The 20,040-nt window shown below is 44.2% G+C and overlaps 1 protein-coding gene across 15 annotated transcripts in view, besides 1 other annotated feature; it reads left to right on the top strand.

Annotated features, from left to right (window-relative positions):
• Positions 1-20,040, top strand: part of HDLBP (high density lipoprotein binding protein) — an 88,382-nt gene that overhangs the window by 4,329 nt on the left and 64,013 nt on the right. Inside the window, exon 1 of one of the 15 annotated variants that reach the window (XM_005247002.5) lies at positions 8,617-8,704. The exons of the other annotated variants lie outside the window; for them this stretch is intronic. The gene's annotated coding sequence lies outside the window, so the exon portion shown is untranslated. Of the gene's footprint in view, positions 1-8,616; positions 8,705-20,040 lie in introns of those variants that run through there. 15 annotated transcript variants of the gene reach the window in all.
• Positions 1,439-1,940: an enhancer, noted in NCBI's record as "H3K4me1 hESC enhancer chr2:242248819-242249320 (GRCh37/hg19 assembly coordinates)". NCBI's record gives its function as "activates a minimal SCP1, AML or CMV promoter by ChIP-STARR-seq in naive H9 embryonic stem cells {active_cell/tissue: H9 hESC(naive)}" and the evidence as "EXISTENCE:reporter gene assay evidence [ECO:0000049][PMID:30033119]".

The raw sequence follows: 20,040 nt of genomic DNA, 5'->3' as shown, positions 1-20,040 counted from the left end.
TGTATGTACGAAAGTGCCTCGTTCTGCTCTTATCCTGAGTAGGAATTTGGACATCATTTTGCTCCGCGGTCTCTAAGTTTCCAGTGTTGTTGAAGTCTTAAGCCGTTCTGATTCTCTTTTATTGATACGTAACATTTTTAGAGCCTTTGTGTGTGACTATGTTTTCCTCCATGAAACCTGAAGGTTTTTGTTTCTTTTTTTTCTTCTTTCTTTCTTTTGTTTTTTTTTGAGACACAGCGTCTTGCTCTGTTGCTCAGGCTGTAGTGCGGTGGCGCTGTCATAGCTCACTGCAGCTGCAATCTCCTGGGCTTGAGTGATGCTCCTGCCTCGGCCTCCCAAGTACCTGGGACTACAGGCATGCACCGCCACACCTGGATAATTTTAAAAACTTTTTGTAGACATGAGCTCTCTATGTTGCCCAGGCTGATCTTGAACTCCTGGCCTCAAGTGATTCTCCTGCCTCAGACTCCCGAAGTGCTGGGAGTGAAGGCTTTGCATCTGGCCTCAGAGGCTTTTCTTTCTGTGAAATTCAGAACTCCCAGAACAGTGATGTCCCTTGGAGACTGTTTTCATCCATCGTCTTGCCTACTCTTTGGTCCTGTTTATTTGCAACTCATGTTCTTCAACGCTGGGCATTTTTTTGATTTATTGCTTTGATTTCTTCCTATTTGCTTTCTCTCTCTCTCTCTAGAATTCTACTCTTGGACTTTCTGGATTGGCACTCATAATTTTCTTAAGGTTTCTTTTTCCCCCCTCTAAAATTTTTGTTTTTGTTTTTATCTTTTAAATTGTAAATTGACAAATTATACTTGTACATATTTAGGGGGTACAAAGTGATGTTACGATTTATGGATACAATAAATAATAAAATCAAGTTAACATAATTCATCACTTCAAATACTTTAAGTTTTTTGTGGTGAAAGCATATGAGATTACTGTCAGCACTTTTGAAATCGACATTATTATTTACTATATTCACCGTGCTGTACAATATATCTCATAAAAGAAAACCACATTCCTCCTGTCTAATTGATGTTTTGTACCCTTTGGTTTTTCATTTTCTTTCTGGAAGTTATTCTCAAGTTTGTCTTCCAGCCCTTCTACCAAGGTTTTTCTCATTTCTAAGAGCTTTTTCTTGTTCCCTCTATTCCTATTTTATAACCTATTTTTTGTTTCATGAATGTGGTATCTCCTGTTAACTGTTGGAAGATATTGATGAGGTTTTATTTTTCCCTGTTTTCTTTTTCCTTAAGTCACTATTGAGGCTGCTCTGGTTTGTTGTGGGTTTTTGGCTTTTGTCAGCCTTTTCTGGGCTATGCAGTGATGTTCTTGTGCCTGCTCGTGAGTCAGAGGGCCTCTGAGCCTGTGTCTGTGGCTGACTGTGGCTTTCACTGCAGAGGCACCTGGCTGGGCCATTTCCTTACAGCACCCTTGTCAGCTTCTTTGGGTTTCTTCAGATTCCCCAGAGAAATATCTTGTAGCCCTTTGCCTGGCTGAGTGGCCAAGTGAGGAGAGAGGCCTGGGAGCACAGCAGTAACCATAAAAGAGCTTACTTCCCTCTTTTCAGAATTGTTTCCCTCCTCTGTAACTGGTGTCCCCAGTCCAAAGATTCTACTTCCCTTTGCAGACAGAAAAGCGATACCTTTTTGCCAGGATAGGAGAGGGACTGTGCAGGTTGGCTCTGTGTGGCTGTGCAGAGTTGTGGGGTGCATCTTAGGGATCTTCGTGCCTTTTAAACCTATCAGCCAACTCTGTTTTTAATTCAGGTCTCCTGGCTTCCAGTCATATTGCCAGTTGGCCTTCCCCATTGCCGATACAGGATTCAGCCCTTTTAGGTCTGTTTCCAGTTTCTAGCCTCCAGTATTTTAATGTTCTTATCTCTATTCTTATTCTTTGCTTTCGTGATTTGTATCTTAAAAAAAGAAAAAATCGTTTACTATCATTTTAGTGGTGCTTCACGAAGTAGTGTAAATGTATTGATCTGACAACGGCTCGTGCTGGAGACACTGTTCCAGGAAGTGGGACACAGTAAGGAAAATGCAAGTGTGTTCTCCTGCACTTTCACGGAGGTCACGTTTTGGTAAGCGGTGTCAGGCAGTCAGCAGACCAGCAGATATGCAGTATGTCCAATGTGGACAAGAAGAAAGGAGGAAAATAAAGTATCGAGGGGAGTGGAGTGGGGGACACAGTGGCAGTTTGGCATAGTGGGGAGGCCTTGCTGATTGAGCGACAGTTGATTCAAACTTGAGATGAGCAAACAAGCCATGGGCAGCGATCTGGGGAAGAGCGTTATAAGAGGAATGGACAGGAGGTGAAAAGCACGGGGGCAGGACTGTGTTGTGCACGTTAGAGGAATGTGGAACACCAGTTATTAGACCAGTGTGGAGCAGGACCAGAGGGTGTAGGAGACGGGCAGGTCAGGGAAGAAGCCGGGGCTCCTAGCAGTCGGATCTTGATGCCTTTGGAGAGCTGGAGCAGAGTGACCCAGTACTGGTGGTGGATCGTGGTGAAGTGACCATGGGCCACACCATTCACGACATTTCTTACTTTTCCTGTCACCTGTAGGAGGCAAGTATTGTTGTTATCACAGGTCGAGGTAGACCCTGAGGCAAAGGCTAGAGTTAGTGGTTTGGCTCCAGTTTGTGCCTTCAGCTACTTCACTGCTTCCCTAACCTGGCCTTGTCAGTCAGCCTCAGTCTACCATCTACCCAGGTCTGCATACCCCGCAAAACAGTATACACTTTGACGCTTTTCTGCAAGCACAATTACCTTTTGGGGGAGCCCTTCTCTTAAAGCAGAGTAGGTTAATGTTTGTGAATGAAACGGAACTTTGGCAGGCTGAGGTGTCTCAGGTCATCAGCTTACGTTGTCTACTGTGTGACTAATTGAGGCAAAAGATGTCCTTTTTAATAGTATTTTCTCATCACTTTTGCCTGGGTGCCCTTTAGGAATGTTATTTTTGGCATACAACTTGAGTTTCACTTAAATTTATAATTCTTTCTGTTCATTCCTACTGCTCTGTTGCCCAGATGTGGATTTTGCTTTGTCTCACAAGCGTTGCTGAAACACTGGTAGAAAGGTGGACGACGGATTGGTTGTGATTAGTTTGATCTTCACAGTACAGAAATTCAAAAGGTCAATAAGCTCAACAAGATTGCTGTCTCACTGATGATCAGAGTTGCCATTAAAATCGTATTTCCCGCACATCAGGCTGGAAAAAAGAATAAACATGATCATTTTAGTTGTCCTCAAAGGAGAAGAGGACAGGTATTCTGTAATCAGGTGTTGTGAGTGTAACTAGTTAAACTCTTTGGGAGGTGGGCAGTTTTACCTTGGCAATATCTATCAATGCATTGCCTGTCATCATATAATTCCATTTCCAATTCAATTTATCCTGTGGGGGTAGAGGCCCAAGTGAGCAGAGGATGTTCTTTCCAGCATTGTTTATAATCGCAAAAAAAAAAAAAAATTAGTTCAAGGGTCCTATCAGTAGGGGATTTATTAAGGTATGTTTACTCCACTCAACATGTAGTTGTTAACAAATGAGGTAAATTTGTATTTGGTACTCGGAAAGATGGCCATGGTGTCTTTTCAAATGAAAATAAGTGTAGCAGATGGTGAAAGAATGCATGTAAGATCCTATTTTTATTTAAATCATGTATTAAAATTATAATTAAAGTATAATTAAAATTACAGTTTTGAAGATACAGTTTAGAATATATTTTTTGGTAAAGCCTCATGGGGGGGTTGCCAGTTTTTACATTGTTTTGTTGAGTTATCTTTTAGAATATTTTTAAAGCTAAAAAATCAAGTTCCTTGGTAGACCATCACTACAGCAAGCCCACTGCAGTATTAATCTATTAATACTGTCAATGTTAATTAAACCATTATTCGTGTAGCCCCTACCCATCCCATTCCAGTCTCTCAGGAGGCTTAGCTGTATCCCAGAGACCCCAGTGCTATGACCGCAGGTCTCTCCTGGGGCAGGAAGAGGTAAGAAGTGGCTGATGTCAAAGTCAACAGTCAGCAAGTGGCGTGAGCAGTCTCGATGAATTCTTTCAAATAAGCGTTTTTCAGATCCACTCTAGGGCTTGCCTTTTCCCTCTGTTGTAGTCTCAGAAGTTCTTGAGGTAGACCTTGTGAGACCTGCAGCAGTACTTGCTGTCTTAGGTACAGAAGGCAGGATATTGATTATTTCTCCCTGACTCAACAAAGAGTTGAGATGTTTATCCAGGTTAGGATGACACTGCCCCCCTGTCCCCCCCGCCCCCCAAAAAAGAAACAAAAATGAAAGGATGGTGTCTTTGACTGTACTGGGAGTCAGGAGACCTCACTTCAATTTTGGGCTTTTCCTCGTTTTTTTTTTTTTTTTGAATAGGTTCAGAGCTACTCCCTGGACCTGTTCTTATCAGCCTTATGACTTGGGGACTTGGGATACTTTTTTTTTTTTTTTTAATTTATTGAGACAGAGTCTCTCCCTGTCACCCAGGCTGGAGTATGACAGCATGATCTCCGCTCACTGCAACTTCCGCCTCCCGGGTTCAAGCAATTCTCCTGCCTCAGCCTCCTGAGTAGCTGGGACTACAGGCATGCACAATAGTAGAGATAGGGTTTTGCCGTGTTGGCCAGGCTGGTCTCGAATTCCTGACCTCAAATGATCTGCCAGCCTCGGCCTCCCAATGAAGTGCTGTGATAATAGGCATGAGCCACTGCTCCCAGCCTGACTTGGGGTACTTTTTGACCTGTAGGATTTCAGCTCCTTTCTTTTAAAAATAAGAAAGCTGAGGCCAGGCGCAGTGGCTCACGCCTGTAGTCCCAGCACTTTGGGAGGCTGAGGCGGGCAGATCACCTGAGGTCAGGAGTTCGAGACTGGCCTGACCAACATGGAGAAGCCCCGTCTCTACTAAAAATACAAAACTAGCCGGGCGTGGTGGCTCATGCCTGTAATCCCAGCTGTGGGAGGCTGAGGCAGGAGAATTGCCTGAACCTGGGAGGCAGAGGTTGCAGTGAGCCGAGATCACGCCATTGCACTCCAGCCAGGGCAACAAGAACAAGACTCCATCTCAAAAAAAAAAAGCTGAATCTCTGAGTGGGTTTTTCATTTTTCATTTTTTTTTTTAAACAGATGCCTCAGAACCTGGGTAACTCAGTTTATCAGAAATTCAGTTTTCAAGTTTGGAAGGATAACACTTGGAGCTGGTAGTCACTCATAAAACATCTGATTTTGTGATCACGTTTAAGAATCCATGAATGATATAAAAATCCTCACCTATTAAAACTTTTTGGCCGGGCGCGGTGACTCACACCTGTCATCCCAGCACTTTGGGAGGCTGAGGTGGGTGGATCACGAGGTCAGGAGATCGAGACCATCCTGGCTAACACGGTGAGACCCCGTCTCTACTAAAAATACAAAAAATTAGTTGAGCATGGTGGCGGATGCCTGTAGTCCCAGCTACTCGGGAGGCTGAGGCAGGAGAATGGCGTGAACCCGGGAGGCGGAACTTTGCAGTGAGCCGAGATCACGCCACTGCACTCCAGCCTGGGCGACAGAGCGAGACTCCATCTCAAAAAAAAAAAAAAAAACAAATAAACAACTTTGTATTCATTGCTTCCTATATACTAGTCATCACGCTATTTATTTCTAGCAGTGGTTATCACCAGGGTGATTTTTGTTACCCAGGGCACATCTGGCAGTGTCCAGAGACCTTTGTGGTTGTCGTGACCTACAATCATCTGGTGGTTGTGGCCAGAGATGCTTACATCCTGTGGTACACAGGGCAGCCCCCGCAACAGAAGTATTCGACTCAAAATGTCAGCAGCGCTGAGGTTGAGGAGCCCTGCTGTAAAGGGTCAGTCCTTGAAAGGGCTCTAGGGTATAGCCATCACAGGCCCCGTTTTTTTGGTTGGAAAGAGTAGAGCCTGGCCAGGTCCGGTGGTTCACGCCTGTAATCCCAGCACTTTGGGAGGCTGAGGCGGGTGGATCACCTGAGGTCAGGAGTTCGAGACCAGCCTGTCCAACATGGTGAAACCCCATCTCTACTAAAAATACAGAATTAGCCGGGTGTAGTGACACATGCCTGTAGTCGCAGCTACTCAGCAGGCTGAGACAGGAAGATAACTTTAACCCAGGAGTTGGAGGCTGCAGTGAGCCAAGATCGCGCCACTGCACTCTAGCCTGGGAGAGACAGAGCGAGACTCCGTCTCAAAAATGAAAAAGTAGAGCCTGGTAGAGTGAAGCCACTTGCAGGAGTCGTTTAGTTAGGGCTGTGTTGCCTTACAGTGCTGGTGTCCTCACAGATGATAATAGTAATAAAAAACACCACACCGGTTTATTGTGTGCCAGCTCGGGTTAAGTGCTGTCTATGTATATGCTCATGGTAACACAAAAGGCATTAATATCAACTTTTTATAGGAGAAGAGACAGGCCCAGGAAATCAAGATCTGTAATTATTTCTTCTTTTTGTTATCTTGGCCCTTAACTTTTAGAAGTTCACACATTTAAACATTCCATCTTGACAGATTTACCCAGCGTTTGAGTGTCTGTGGGGCTTCTCTAAAGCTCAGGGTCAAAGGGGATATCCTGCCCACACAGCACTTTCTAGTTCAGGAGTGGGACCAACCAGGCCTTTGCAGCAAGATAGGTATTCGGTGCTGAAATACACGCTGTAAAGTTGTCCTGTGTTTCTTGGGATTTTGAATATCTTTCATTGATTCAATTGGCATTTATTTTTCACCAAGTACATATTCAGTAAATGTGTTTTGGAAAAACAGTGAACAAATCAAAGTCCCAGCCCTAAAGCCATTTAGGCACTCACGGCCTATCTCTGCAGTAACCTGCTGCTTGTTAGCACTGGGACCAAGTCCATCTGTGGCTGCCTTCGGGGGATTGGCTTCTAGTCTAGACTCTTGCTGGGTTAGTGTTTCCATCATTCTGTCAAGGATCCAGCTCTAAGGCTGATAGCCACTTCCCTGAATTCATGTGATGGATGCACAAGCCTCTTGGACTAACTCCCCTCTTCATTTTACTGCTTCCACCCCAAGCCTGGGTTACACGTGAAGCCATTGGTGTGCTATTAATGTATTGGTGATGCTTTTACTTGGTTTGGATCCCTATGGCTTAGCAGAGTAACTTGATCATGGCAGGTGCCATATACGTATTTTGAGGGATGAACAGATAGCATAGTGTTGATTGCTAAAAAGGTAATGATCTGGCCGGGCATGGTGGCTTATGCCTGTAATACATACACATGCACTTTGTAATCCCAGCATTCTGGGAAGCTGAGGCAGGGGGATCACTGGAGCCTAGGAGTTTGAGACCAGCCTAGGCAACAAAGTGAGACCCCCATCTCTACAAAATATAGAAAAAAGTTAGCTGGACCTGGTGGTGTGCCTTTGTGGTCCCAGCTACTCAGGAGACTGAGGTGGGAGGCACGTTTGAGCCCAGGAGGTCGAGGCTGCAGTGAGCTGTAGTCACACCACTGCACTCCATTCTGGGTCACAGAGTGAGACTCCGTCTCCAAAAAAAGAAGTAATATTCTGAACTTGTCCTTTCTTGACTTTTTGGTGAATTATAACGGGCTGCCAGAATCTAGATCAGCTTTTTAGGCTCTGAGAGATATGCTTCATGTAGAAATAATCCAGTCTGAAGGCCAGGTCTCAAGGTGTCACTTTTGTATTCTTGGATGACTGTTGAATGTGTGGTCTCGACGAATGGCTTTGTGGAGCAGCTTTCTCCAGAGACTTGCATGTGCTTGGATTAACAAACTTGCGATCCAGGGATGCTAAGCAGGTGCCTTCTGTGACCAAGCTCAGTATTGAGGGCGCTGCTGTCCTTGAGGCAGCCAAGTGTTCTTGTATACAGCTGTGTTGTGTAGCAGGTTAAGTGCTGCCTCTCTCCTGTTGCTTGTTTTCTGTAATATGTCACCTTTCTTGGCATGATTCCTTTGTCCAGTCTTCCAGCGTCCTGTTGTATGGTGTGGGTGGGCTGGGGACTGCATAAATGAGTTGGAGCAGTGATGTTCTTGGCCTTGCTCTGTCCTGTGAGAGAGGACCCTGCACCATCTGGGGCTCCTGGAGTGGCACCCTGCACCAGCAGGACGCAGCTCTTCCTGGCCCTTCTGTCGGCCTCTAAACACAGTGCAGGCTGACTTTCTTATCACAGCTCGTTTGGCTGGCTGGACCAAATGCTGCTTGTTTCTTTCTGGAGTGGGGAAATAACTTCAACCAGGTGCAGTCAGTGTGTATTCTTATCTCAGCTGCAAAAGCTGTTCTAAATGCCCTTCTAGGGAACTTTTGCGGTGTGAATTTAGTGGTTGTGCTGCGTGTTAGTCCTGCCCAACACTAGGCCCAGGCAGCTAGAGTTAAGTCGTTGGGCATTGGTAGGGCACTGTGAGCAAAGACTCTCTTACCTCGGGCCAGGCAGAGAAGGACACAGTGGCTGAGCTCACCTGCTCCTTGGTCATCCTTCAAACCTCTGAGTGTGTGTGGTTCCTTGGGGAGAGAAAGCAGTTTTCTCGTGGGTGCCAAGACAGCAGCTACCTGCATAGCAACTGCTCCTGGCCTAGTAGGAGATTTACATGTGGAGACTCTGGAGAGAGCTGCACTTCTAAAGGGGTTGCCACAACAGACAGCCTTAGGGGAAATGGGGAAACTGGAGAAAAGGGCTCTTATCCCAAAAGGACCAGATCCATTGGAACAGATAGAGGTAAGGAGGCAAAGAGAAAGCAACAGTACAAGTGTAAAATTGGGAGAAATAGTTTTTAAAGGGGGTCATTTATTTGGCACTTTTACCAATTTGTTTTGAAACAGAGTCTCAGTCTGTCGCCCAGGCTGGAGTGCAGTGCTGTGATCACAACTCATTGCAGCTTCTAACTCCTGAGCTCAAGTAATCCTCCTGCTTCTGCCGAGTAGCTAGGACTATAGGGTGCCTGGCTAATTTTTATTTTTTTTGTCAAAATGGAGGTTTGCTATGTTGCCCAGGCTGGTCTTGTACTCCTGGACTCAAGTCCTTCTGCTTCAGCCTCCCAAAGTGCAAAGTGCTGGGATTACAGGTGTGAACCACCTAACCTGGCCTCTAGTTTGTTTGTTTGACACAGGGTCTTGCTCAGTCACTAGTTGGAGTACAGTGACACTATCATAGCTCACTGCAGTCTCGAACTCCTGGGCTCAAATGATCCTTTTGCCTCCGCCTCCTGAGTAGCTGGGAAGCATACTACAGGCACTGTACCTGGCTAATTAAATTTTTTTTTTTTTTTTGTAGAGATGGGAGTTGTGGGGGGTCTCACTCTGTTTTGCTATATTGCCCAAGCTGATCTTGAACTTCCGACCTCAAGCAGTCCTCCCACCTCGGCCTCCCAAAGTGTTGGGATTACAGGTGTGAGCCACTGTGCCTGGCCCTCGGCCTCTTTTACCATTTTTGAAATTGAGGTTTTGAAACAAGTGACTTGCTCAGAAACAGTTTTACCCCTTAGGGCTTCCTTTTCAATATTATAAGATGTATGGTTTCTGATTTATTTATTAGAATAGGAAACTTTTTGCCTTAAATCTTTTTCTTGAAAAATTAAAAAAAAAAACAAAACGAAAGGAAAGGATGGCCCTTTGGGATCTTTTCTGCCTGTCTGCTGTAACCATTCGACAGTTGAGAACCATGTTGCTTGGTGTCTTGTAGCTTGTAAATAGAAGACTGAAGTGTGTGTGAGTAGAACCTTAAAATTCACTTTTCCTTTGCTTTGTCTTCTTTATGTTGGAGTTTGCTTACTCCTGAGTGTATATTATTAGATGATTACAGGTGTGTAGTATTCACCCCAGTATTTGCTGGCTAGTGTGAACAAAATGAAATACACTGCATCATCCGAATGTGTTTTATTTTGTAGCAATGTGTATATTACTCTTAATTTTCACTCTTCTTACGTGATATGCTTTCTAATTTTATTAATACCTAGCTCATTTGACTGTTTCAAATGATATTACTGATTTAATTATATTTACTTTTTAAACATTTGCTGATAAGTAGACGATTAGGTGGTCTTATAGCATTGGTTTAAATCAGTATGTGTGTGGCCGGGTGCAGTGGCTCATGCCTGTAATCCCAGCACTTTGGGAGGCCTAGGTGGGCAGATCACGAGGTCAGGAGATCGAGACCATCCTGGCTAACACGATGAAGCCCCGTCTCTACTAAAAATACCAAAAAAAAAAAAAAAATTAGCCGGGCCTGGTGGCGGGCGCCTGTAGTCCCAGCTGCTGGGGAGGCTGAGGCAGGAGAATGGCATGAACCCAGGAGGCGGAGCTTGCAGTGAGCAGAGATGGCACCACTGCACTCCAGCCTGGGTGACAGAGTGAGACTCGTCTCAAAATAATAATAATAATAATAATAATAATAATAATAATAATAATAGTATGTGTGCATGAAATCAGTTCACTTTGAAGAATACAATTTTTTTCTTTTGAAACAAGGCTTCTATTTTGATCTAATTGCTCATGCTTGGAGCTGCCTGGCCAGCCCCTGAGACCCAAGTTCTGTGTTCCCTTTGTCGTCTGCACAACGAGCTCAGCAGACTGCTGGCTGCGTGTTACAGGGCTCTGGGGTGTCCCCGGGTTCAGCCCTACTGTCTCAGAGAGAGGAGGACCTGGCCTGTGAAGGACTGAGGTGGTGATGTGAAGGTCTTTTCTCCATCAAATCTTGCGCCAGTTACCTTGTATAGTATTTAGATTGTTGTTATCAGTTGGTCATATGGCTTTATTGAAGGCTGGTTTAGCATATTTAGAACTTATTTGGCATGCATTAGGATTCTTCTTCTTAGAGTATTTTAATTCCAGTATGTACTTATGCTTGTCTTCTCTACCTGCCCCCAGTCTTGAAGTGGTGGAAATGTGTGTGTGTGCATGTGTGTGTACTTTCCTTAAGCCCTTGCTGATTGATGCAGTCACTTGCTTTCACCCTGCTTAAATATTCCTAATTCTCGCTGGGCAGTGTTCCTGTTACATGTCGTGGGTTACTCCGATTTGCCTAGTGTCTGAGTTTTGCCTCTTGTTCGTCTTTTAGGGCAGTGTACGACTGGGGCTCAGCAGTGCTAGTGGCTGGCCCAGATGGAGCACCGGGGGGCGCCCGCCTTCTACTAGGAAGAACTGGGCGGGGTGGGGGGAGTTCCCCATGTGGACCTCGAAGTTGTTTGGGATGTGCTGCTGTGCATATCTAGGTTGTGCTGTGGCTTTCTTGATGCTTTCTGGTGGTTTAAAAATCTACTTTCTCATGAAAGAACGTGAACCAGAAAAAAAAAATCTTTTATGAAGTTTGAGAAAATGATTGGGTGACAGACTTTAGAATCGTGACAATATGCTTTGCTACATAAAGTTTGGGTGCAATGTGCATTCATTTTGTAGTTGAACTCGTGATTAAACAGATATAGTCAAAATTTGTTTTTTGTTTGTTTGAGACGGAATCTCGCTCTGTCCCCCAGGCTGGAGTGCAGTGGTGGGATCTCGGCTCACTGCAAGCTCTGCCTCCTGGGTTCACGCTGTTCTCCTGCCTCAGCCTCCCCAGTAGCTGGAACTATGGGTGCCCGCCATCATGTGCGGCTAATTTTTTGTGTTTTTAGTAGAGATAGGGTTTCACCGTGTTAGCCAGGATGATCTCGATCTCCTGACCTCGTGATCCACCTGCCTAGGCCTCCCAGAGTGCTGGGATTACAGGCGTGAGCCACCGCGCCCCGCCCAAAATTTGGGTTTTGACTTTGAACTGGAATGGTCAGTGTTATCTGCCATCCCTCTCCTATATTGATGTTTATTTCCAAATTAGGGTGTTTAGTTTTCCTTTCTTTTTTTTTTTTTTTTTTTTTTTTTGAGACGGAGCCAGGCTGGAGTTCAGTGGTGCCATCTTGGCTCACTGCAACCTCTGCCTCCTGGGTTCAAGTAGTGATTCTCCTGCCTCAGCCTCCCGAGTAGCTGGTACTACAGATGCACGCCACCATGCCTGGCTAATTTTTGTATTTTTAGTAGAGACGGTTTCACCATATTGGTCAGGCTGGTCTTGAACTCCTGACCTTGTGATCCACCTGCCTCGGCCTCCCAAAGTGCTGGGATTACAGGCGTGAGCCACCGCGCCCGGCCTTAGGGTGTTTAGTTTTTCTAATCACAGTAGTAGTACATATCCTCCATTAATTTTTTTAAAAAACGATCCTGAATTTACAGAGGAGGTACGGGTACCGTACAGCTCTTTATCTGAACCACCTGAGAGTAAGTTGGGACTACGAACCTCACCCTGGGATATTTTGGTATGTTTACTTATAGACAAGACACCTTCCTCCTTAACCGCAATACAGCCATCAAAGTCAGGAAATCAACATGAATGCGTTGCCGCCTTCTGATCAGGCAGCGCATTCTCATTCCACTGAAAGGATCTAGTTCAGAACCACAGTTCATTGTCAGATCTCTTTAGTCTCTTTCAAACTGGAATGGTTCCTCTGCCTGAGCTTGACACTTTTAATGATTACCAGCAGTTATTTTGTGGGGTCCCTTATTGTGGGTTTGTTTGGTGTTTCCTTTTGATTAGATCTAGGTTTTGCGCCTCTGGCTGGAACAGTACAAGGAGGAGGCTGGGTTCTTCTCTGCATCCTAATAGGTGGTGCAGAATTCAGTTAGTCCCCTTAGTGGTGATGTGCACTTTACTTGCTTGATTCAGGTGCTGCCTTCCAGCTTCTCCACTGTGAAATCTTTGTAATTGTTAAGTATATAGTAGGGAGATACTTTTGAAATAAAATCAAACTTTCAGTTATCTCAACTATCTCAACTTTAATCAGAGTTCAATTTGCTTATTTATGTCAATATTGGCTCATGGTTTCCCCAGTTAATTCGGTTGATTGTTACCCTTTTGCCATGACTTTATTTGATGTTCATCATCTCAGGTTTGCCCCTGAGAGCCCCTCAAGCTCCTGTGTCCTTTATTTATTTATCTATTTATTTTTTTCATTATTATTATTTTTTCAGACTGAGTCTCACTCTGTCGCCCAGGCAGGAGTGCAATGGCGCCATCTCGGCTGACTGCAAACTCCACCTCCCGGGTTCAAGCGATTCTCCTGCCTCAGTCTCCTGAGTAGCTGAGATTACAGGCACGCGCCACCACGCCCAGCTAATTTTCTGTATTTTTAGTAGAGACAGGGTTTCACCACGTGGCCCAGGCTGGTCTCAAACTCCTGAGCTCAGGCAGCCTCCTGCTTCTGCCTCCCAAAGTGCTAGGATTACAGGCATGAGCCACCATGCCTGGCCCTTTTTTTTTTTTTTTTTTTTTTTTTTTTTTTTTTTTTGAGACAGGGTCTCACTCTGTCCAGGCCTGGAGTGCAGTAGCGAGCTCTCGGCTCACTGCAACCTCTGCCTCCTGGGTTCAAGTGATTCTCCCGCCTCAGCCTCCCCGGTAGCTGGGACTGCAGATGTGTGCCACCACGCCCGGCTAATTTTTTTATTTTTAGTAGAGAGAAGGTTTCACCATGTTGGCCGGTCTTGAACTCCTGACCTCAGGTGATCCACCCGCCTTGGCCTCCCAAAGTGCTGGGATTACTGTCTGTGTCCTTCTGATATGTCCTCATTATTCTCTGTCTCTTTCTCTTCTCTTCTCTTTCTTTCTTGTACCACAGGATATTCTGGGCTCTTCATGTACCTTCCCTGCCCCAGACCTGGATTCTGCCTTTTCTTCAAGAAGGCCTGCTTCCCTTTTATGGCAGTTGGCTCTCAGAGAAACAGGGTCTAGGCACCAGCTAGGTTGCTGGAGTGTTACTATACCCAGGCCCTCTCAGTCAACAGAGTATGTGTATACATACATATACAAAACATACCTACAGCTACATGCGTGTGTATTTTTAACACAGTCTCATTTTTTAATATCTCCATGTATTGAAAAGCATGAGTTTATTCCAGTACCCCCATTTCCAATGTAGTAGCACAGGGTTTATTCTAGTTTCTCGCTTTCCAAGTGGATAACTCCGTTTCCCAACAGTGACAATCTTAGATCCCAGTGTCTCTAATATGTTTACTTCCTTGATTATTCACCCTGTATGGAACGAGGCTCCTCTTGTTGACCTTCCTGCTTGGATGCCCGCTGCCTCCTCATCTCACTCAGCTGCTGTCATCCTGCACCTCCACCCACCATGAGCATCTTCCTCACTCCACTTGGGCTCTGATACCCTAGCTATGTAGATATTCTCTTATGTGGAAGCCCGTATCCCCAGTTTAAAAACAAAAAAAGTCCAAGTCCTACACGCTCTCTTTTTGCAGCTTGATCATTTTCATTTAATGTACAGTAGTCTGTGCTTTTTCCAGACTGATACGTGAGCCGTTGGATTCTTGTTGGTAACAGCGCCTTACTGTGTGGTGTCCTTGTCCCACTTAGTATGACTGCCTTCGTGCTGACGCACACTCGTGTTCTTCCAGTTCTTTGCCTGTGGCATGCTGTTGTGAGCCTCACCTGTCACACCTATGCTTCTGTATTCTTTTGCAGGCACTTCTGGAGAGTAGCATTTTTGAAGTGTGATTGCTGACTTAGATTGTATATTTCTATTTTTTGTTATGTGTTTCTAAATTGCCTTCTAATTTTATACTTCCTCAATGGTTGAGTAGTCTTTTTTCCCCCTCACCATTATAAACACTGAATGATCACTTTTGTTCATCTTTGCGGATCTCATAAAGGCTGCATGAAGATGAACATCTATTCGTGTGTTTGTGGGCAATTTTATGTTAATTTTCTGTGATTTGTGTGTTCATATGTCCTAACCTATTCAGATGTTTTCCAGACATTGAAAAACTCCATTTGTATCTTGACTTCTATATTAGTGTTCTATAAAATTCTTATGCTCTGATAGGGTCAAATAAATCAATATCTTCCTCAGTGGTTTTTACAGTATATGTTGTTGGAGACTTTTTGCAGCCCCAAATCACAGGTTTTCCTCCTTAATCTTCAGGGCTTCAGGGTTTGATTGTTTACATCCAGATCTCCAATCCAGCTGAAATTTATTTTAGAGTATGTTGTGAGGTAGGGATCAAACTTTATATGTTTTCAAAATGGATAACAAATTGGCCCAATTCCTTGCTGATTTGAAATGGCACTTGTATCAAATAATAAATTCACAGGTACACGTGAGTCTGTTTCATGCATCAAGTGCCTCTTTCTTAGCCAGTAACACCAAGTGCTAATTACCATTGCTTTGTAGTATGCTTTGCTAATTTTAGTTGAATCCCAGCTTTTTTTTTTTTTTTTTTGCAAAATTTTCTAGCCTGGTTTTATGTTTAGGTGAATTTTTAGGAGAATCCTTGTTAGAGTTAAAAAAATATCCTACTGGGATGTTGTGTTACTTTCCCAGGGCTGCCGTAACAAATTACCACACATTTGGTGGCTTACAACAGGAATGTATTCTCTCGCAGTTTTGGAGACTGGAAATCTGAAATCTGGCAGGGCCACACTCCCTCTGGGGGATAGGAGAGAGATTGTTCTTTGCTTCTTCGTCTTCCAGCTCCTGCCCCACAGTCCTTGGCTTGCAGCTGCATGGTTCCCACCCCTGCCTCCCTCTTCACGTGGCTTTCTCGTCTGTCACGGGTGGCATTTAGAACCCACCCAGATAATCCAGGATCATCTCCTCATCTTAGTATCTTTCACTTAATGTCATCTGAAAAGACCCCTTTTCCAAGAAAAGTAAAACAAATTTCAGGGATTGGGATTCCCTATCTTTGGGTGGCCATTTTTCAGCCTATCACAGATGTTATTTGGAGTGTGATTGGGGGTGTAGATGAACTTGGAATAGAACAGACATCTTTTGTGATGAATCTCCTGGCTAAGTCTTGGCATCATCTCCATGATTCAGGCTTCTCGTGTATATGTGTGTGTGTAAAATTTTTGTTTTGCCAACTTGCCAAGCTTGCCTTCACTGTTACTAGAGCTTCATTATAATAGAGAGGTTTTCTAAACAGGTCATCTGCAGACAGTGGTATTTGTCTCCTTGCTTCATTCTGTCTCTTTAGATGGCCTATTGGACAGTCTTTGACAATAGTAACATCTTGGTCATTCTGTTGCTTATTTTAATACTATACTATTAGCTTTTTAGTAAATATGTTACTTTGGGGAAATATTGTTCATATAGCCATTTGCTGATGTTAAACTCCATAGAAAGTAAATAATACATGCTGAATTTCATCAGTTTTTTGGGCATTTTTGAAATGGTCGTCGGTCAGCCACGTATATGTTTATTTGTCCTTTTTTTCTTTGAGACAGAGTTTTGCTCTGTCGCCCAGGCTGGAGTGCAGTGGTGCAATCTCGGCTCACTGCAGCCTCCGCCTCCCGGGTTCAAGAGATTCTCCTGCCTCAGCCTCCCGAGTAGCTGGGATCACAGGCACCCACCACCATGCCTGGCTAATTTTTAGTGTTTTTAGTAGAGATGGGGTTTCACCATGTTGACCAGGCTGGTCTTGAACTCCTGACCTCAGGTGACCCACCTGTCTCGGCCTCCCAAAGTGCTGGGATTACAGGTGTGAGCCACTGGGTCTGGCCTATTTGTCCTCCTTTTAGCCATAAGTATATATTTTCTAATTTTAAAACTGTATCCCTAGAACAGACCATTCTTAGTCATGATGTCTTGTTCTCTAAATTTAGTGATCAATTAATTAGGCTCGTGTTTTGTTTAAAATTTTACATGTTTTCTAGCTTGGGCAATATAGCAGGACCTGTCTCTTGGAGAAAAAATTAGTTGGGCATGGTGTACGCACCTGTAGTCGCAGCGCCTTAGGAGTCTGAGGTGGAAAGGATGGCTTGAGCCCAGGAGTTCAAGGCTACAGTGAGCTATCTTGCATCACTGTACTGCAGCCTGGGCAGCAGAGCGAGACTCTGTCTCAAATAAATAAATAATAAAATAAAATAGAAATTTACGTGTCTGTAGAATAGTCTATAATGATTAATCTCTGCAACATCTACTCATTGTTTTGGGAAGACAAAACAATGCCGATTTTCCTTTGGGGAACAACTCTTTCTACCATGTGTAAACCATGTGTTTTAGATAGAATGGCTCAGCTGCATGGGTGGACCTGGTTGGCTGTGGCTACTAGACATAACACATGCCCTTGGCCCCCTGATTATAGTTATTGGTCCCTAACGAGATCAGAACCCAATTAATGCCAATGAGTTACAAAAATAATTCGTGGCACCCGTGAGACAAAGAAGCTCTTATTTCCTTGGGAGCTACCAGAAGATACAATTACTGCCATTTATAACACTTCTTATTTCAAAACCAGGCAAAGATAATATTGTATCATTGTAATCTCGGGTGTGTGTTCTTTTCTTTTGTCAGGCTAGAGAGAGTTAATTGCTCTTCAATTGCTTTTTTCAAAGAAACTGATTTTGCTTTTGATTGACCAAGTAGCTATGTTTCTGTTTTTGTTTTTTTTTTTTTTTGAGGCAGGGTCTCGCACCCTCACCCAGGCTGGATTGCAGTGGTGCAATCACGGCTCACTGCAGGCTCAACCTCCTGGGCTCAGGCGATCTTCCTGCCGCAGCCTCCCAAGTAGCTGGGGACTACAGGCACGTGCCACCATGCCAGGCTAATTTTTTGTATTTTTGGTAGAGATGAGGTTTCGCTATGTTGCCCAGGCTGGTCTTAAACTCCTGGACTCAAGCGATCTGCCTGCCTCAGCCTCTCAAAGTGCTGGGATTACAGGTGTGAGTCACTGCACTTGGCCTGTTTTGTTTTGTTTTAATTTTTTTTGAGGCAGAGTCTCGCTCTGTCACCCAGGCTGGAGTTCAGTGGTGCAATCATGGCTCACTGCAGGCTCAACCTCCTGGGCTCAGGCGATCTTCCTGCCCCAGCCTTCCAAGTAGCTGGGACTACAGGCACGTGCCACCCAGGCTGGGAGTGCAGTAGCGTGATTATAACTCACTCACTGTAACCTTGAACTCCTGGGCTCAAGGGATCCTCCTGCCTCAGCCTCTCAGTAGCTGGGACTACAGGTGTGTGCCATCATGCATGGCTTTTCTTATTTTATTTTATTGTATTTTTTATTTTTTTGTGGAGATGGGGTCTTGCTTTGTTGTCCAAGCTGGTCTCAAACTCCTGGGCTTAAGTGATCCTAAAGTGCTGAGATTACAGGTTTGAGACACTGCACCTGGTCTTATATTTCATCAATTCTTTTTGTTCCTTCTACTTTGGTTTTCACTTTACATCTTGACTTGAATGCTTAGTTCATTCATCTTCATTAATAAAGTTTACAAGTTTGATTCACCCTGTGAGTGTAGCTTTAGCAGTGCTCTGTAGACGTTGATAAGTGGTCCTCTTTGCTCTTTCTTCTTTTCTGAGACGGGGTCTCGCTTTGTTGCCCAGGCCGAGTGCAGTGGCACAGCTCACTGCAGCCCCAGCCTCCCCGCACTCAAGTGATCCTCCTGCCTCAGCCTCCCTAGTAGCTAGGGCCACAGGTGTACACCGCCACACCTGGCTGATTTTTTGTTTTCTATTTTTATTTTTGTACAGGCAGTCTCACTATATTGCCCAGGTTTCTTTTCCTTTTTTAAACCTTGTTGGGAAAACTTCAAAATATACCACAAAATAAAAGAGAATAGAAGAGAATCATATGCCTGTCACCCAGCTTTCACAGTTGTCAGCATTTTACTATAGCCCTGCCCACTCCCAATATTTTATATTTTTCATTTGAGTATTTTAAAGCAAATCTCAGACTTTTAGTCACCTCTAAATACTTTAGCATGTATTTTTTAGGAAACGGCTTTAAAAAACATAACCACAATACCTTCATCATAGCTAACACCACCAACCACGCTCATTAATATTATCTAATATTTATTCTGTGTTTGGTTTTCTCCAGATGTCATAAAAAGCCTTTTTACACTTTGTTTGCTTGAATTGAAATCCAAAGAAGGTCTCCACATTGCATTTGGTTTAAGCCTCTTAGCTCTTTGAAAATCTATAGCTTGCAGCTTCTTTTCCCTTTTTTAGTTTTTGTTTTTAATGCCATTTATTTATGAAGGCAATAGGGTTGTTTGTGCTGTGGAACGTCCCAGGTTTGGGATTTGGTTGACTGTGTTGTGGCACTATCTAATGTGTTTTTCTAATCCTCATACTTCCTGTAGCTAGGTCAGGATGCTTAATTGGTTTCAGGCTGTTTGTTGTTGGGGGGGTGGGGGGCAGTGGTTTCAAGGATATTCCACAGACTGTGCTCTGTGTTGCACGTTGAGCAGCCAGGTTACATGATGTCGGGTGCGGTGTCAGTAGGTTGAATTATAGAGTTCTTTATCAACCAGTTCTCTACTGGGTTTAACGGCCATTTGCTTGTTGCTTGTACCCGTTATTTAGTTGGTGTATTACTTTCCTATTGCTGCTGTACCAAATTACAACACTGTGGCTGAAATCAGTCTCACTGGTCTAGAGTCTGGGTATCTGGGTGCCATCAGGCAGCTCTGGAGAGTATCTGCTTCCTGGCCTTTTCCAGCTCGTGGCAGCCATTTTTTGGCTATGGCCCCTTCCTCCATCATTAGAGCACATGATCTAAAGGACACTTGTGATTGTGGTTACGTCCCACCCATATAATCCAAAATGATCTCCCATCTCAAGATTCTTAATTCATCTGTAACATATCCAAATCCAGAAATTAGGACTTGAATATCTTTGGAGGCCATTGTTCAGCCTACAGCTGACAATTATAAAGTGAAGATTTTTCTAATTCTATTCTTATTTAAAGAAGATTTCCTGTATCAATTTTGGAGGTTCTGAAATGTGGTTCCTGCTGGGGAGAAAGAAGAAATGAATGATTTCTTTCCTTTATCAGTGTTTAGGATGCACTGGAACTAATAGCTTCCAAAGTTGAAGTTCATTTCTGTAGCATTTCCCCCTAGTACTATAAACCTGGGGATGTGATTGTGCTTCAACCCGTGGAAGCCGTATTTTGGTGCTTCTGTTGTTCTACCCAAGTTGGCTTGTGTCATCTTTGGGTGTGACTCCTTGGTTTGTGACTGCTCCCTGCCTGCCTGTCACAGGAGGGTGTTGTACCTCGTCCGTGTTCTGCTTA

The sequence above is a fragment of the Homo sapiens genome, chromosome 2, assembly GCF_000001405.40.
Source record: "Homo sapiens chromosome 2, GRCh38.p14 Primary Assembly".
Classification (NCBI taxonomy): domain Eukaryota; kingdom Metazoa; phylum Chordata; class Mammalia; order Primates; family Hominidae; genus Homo; species Homo sapiens.
This window is presented reverse-complemented; position numbering and strand designations above follow the sequence as displayed.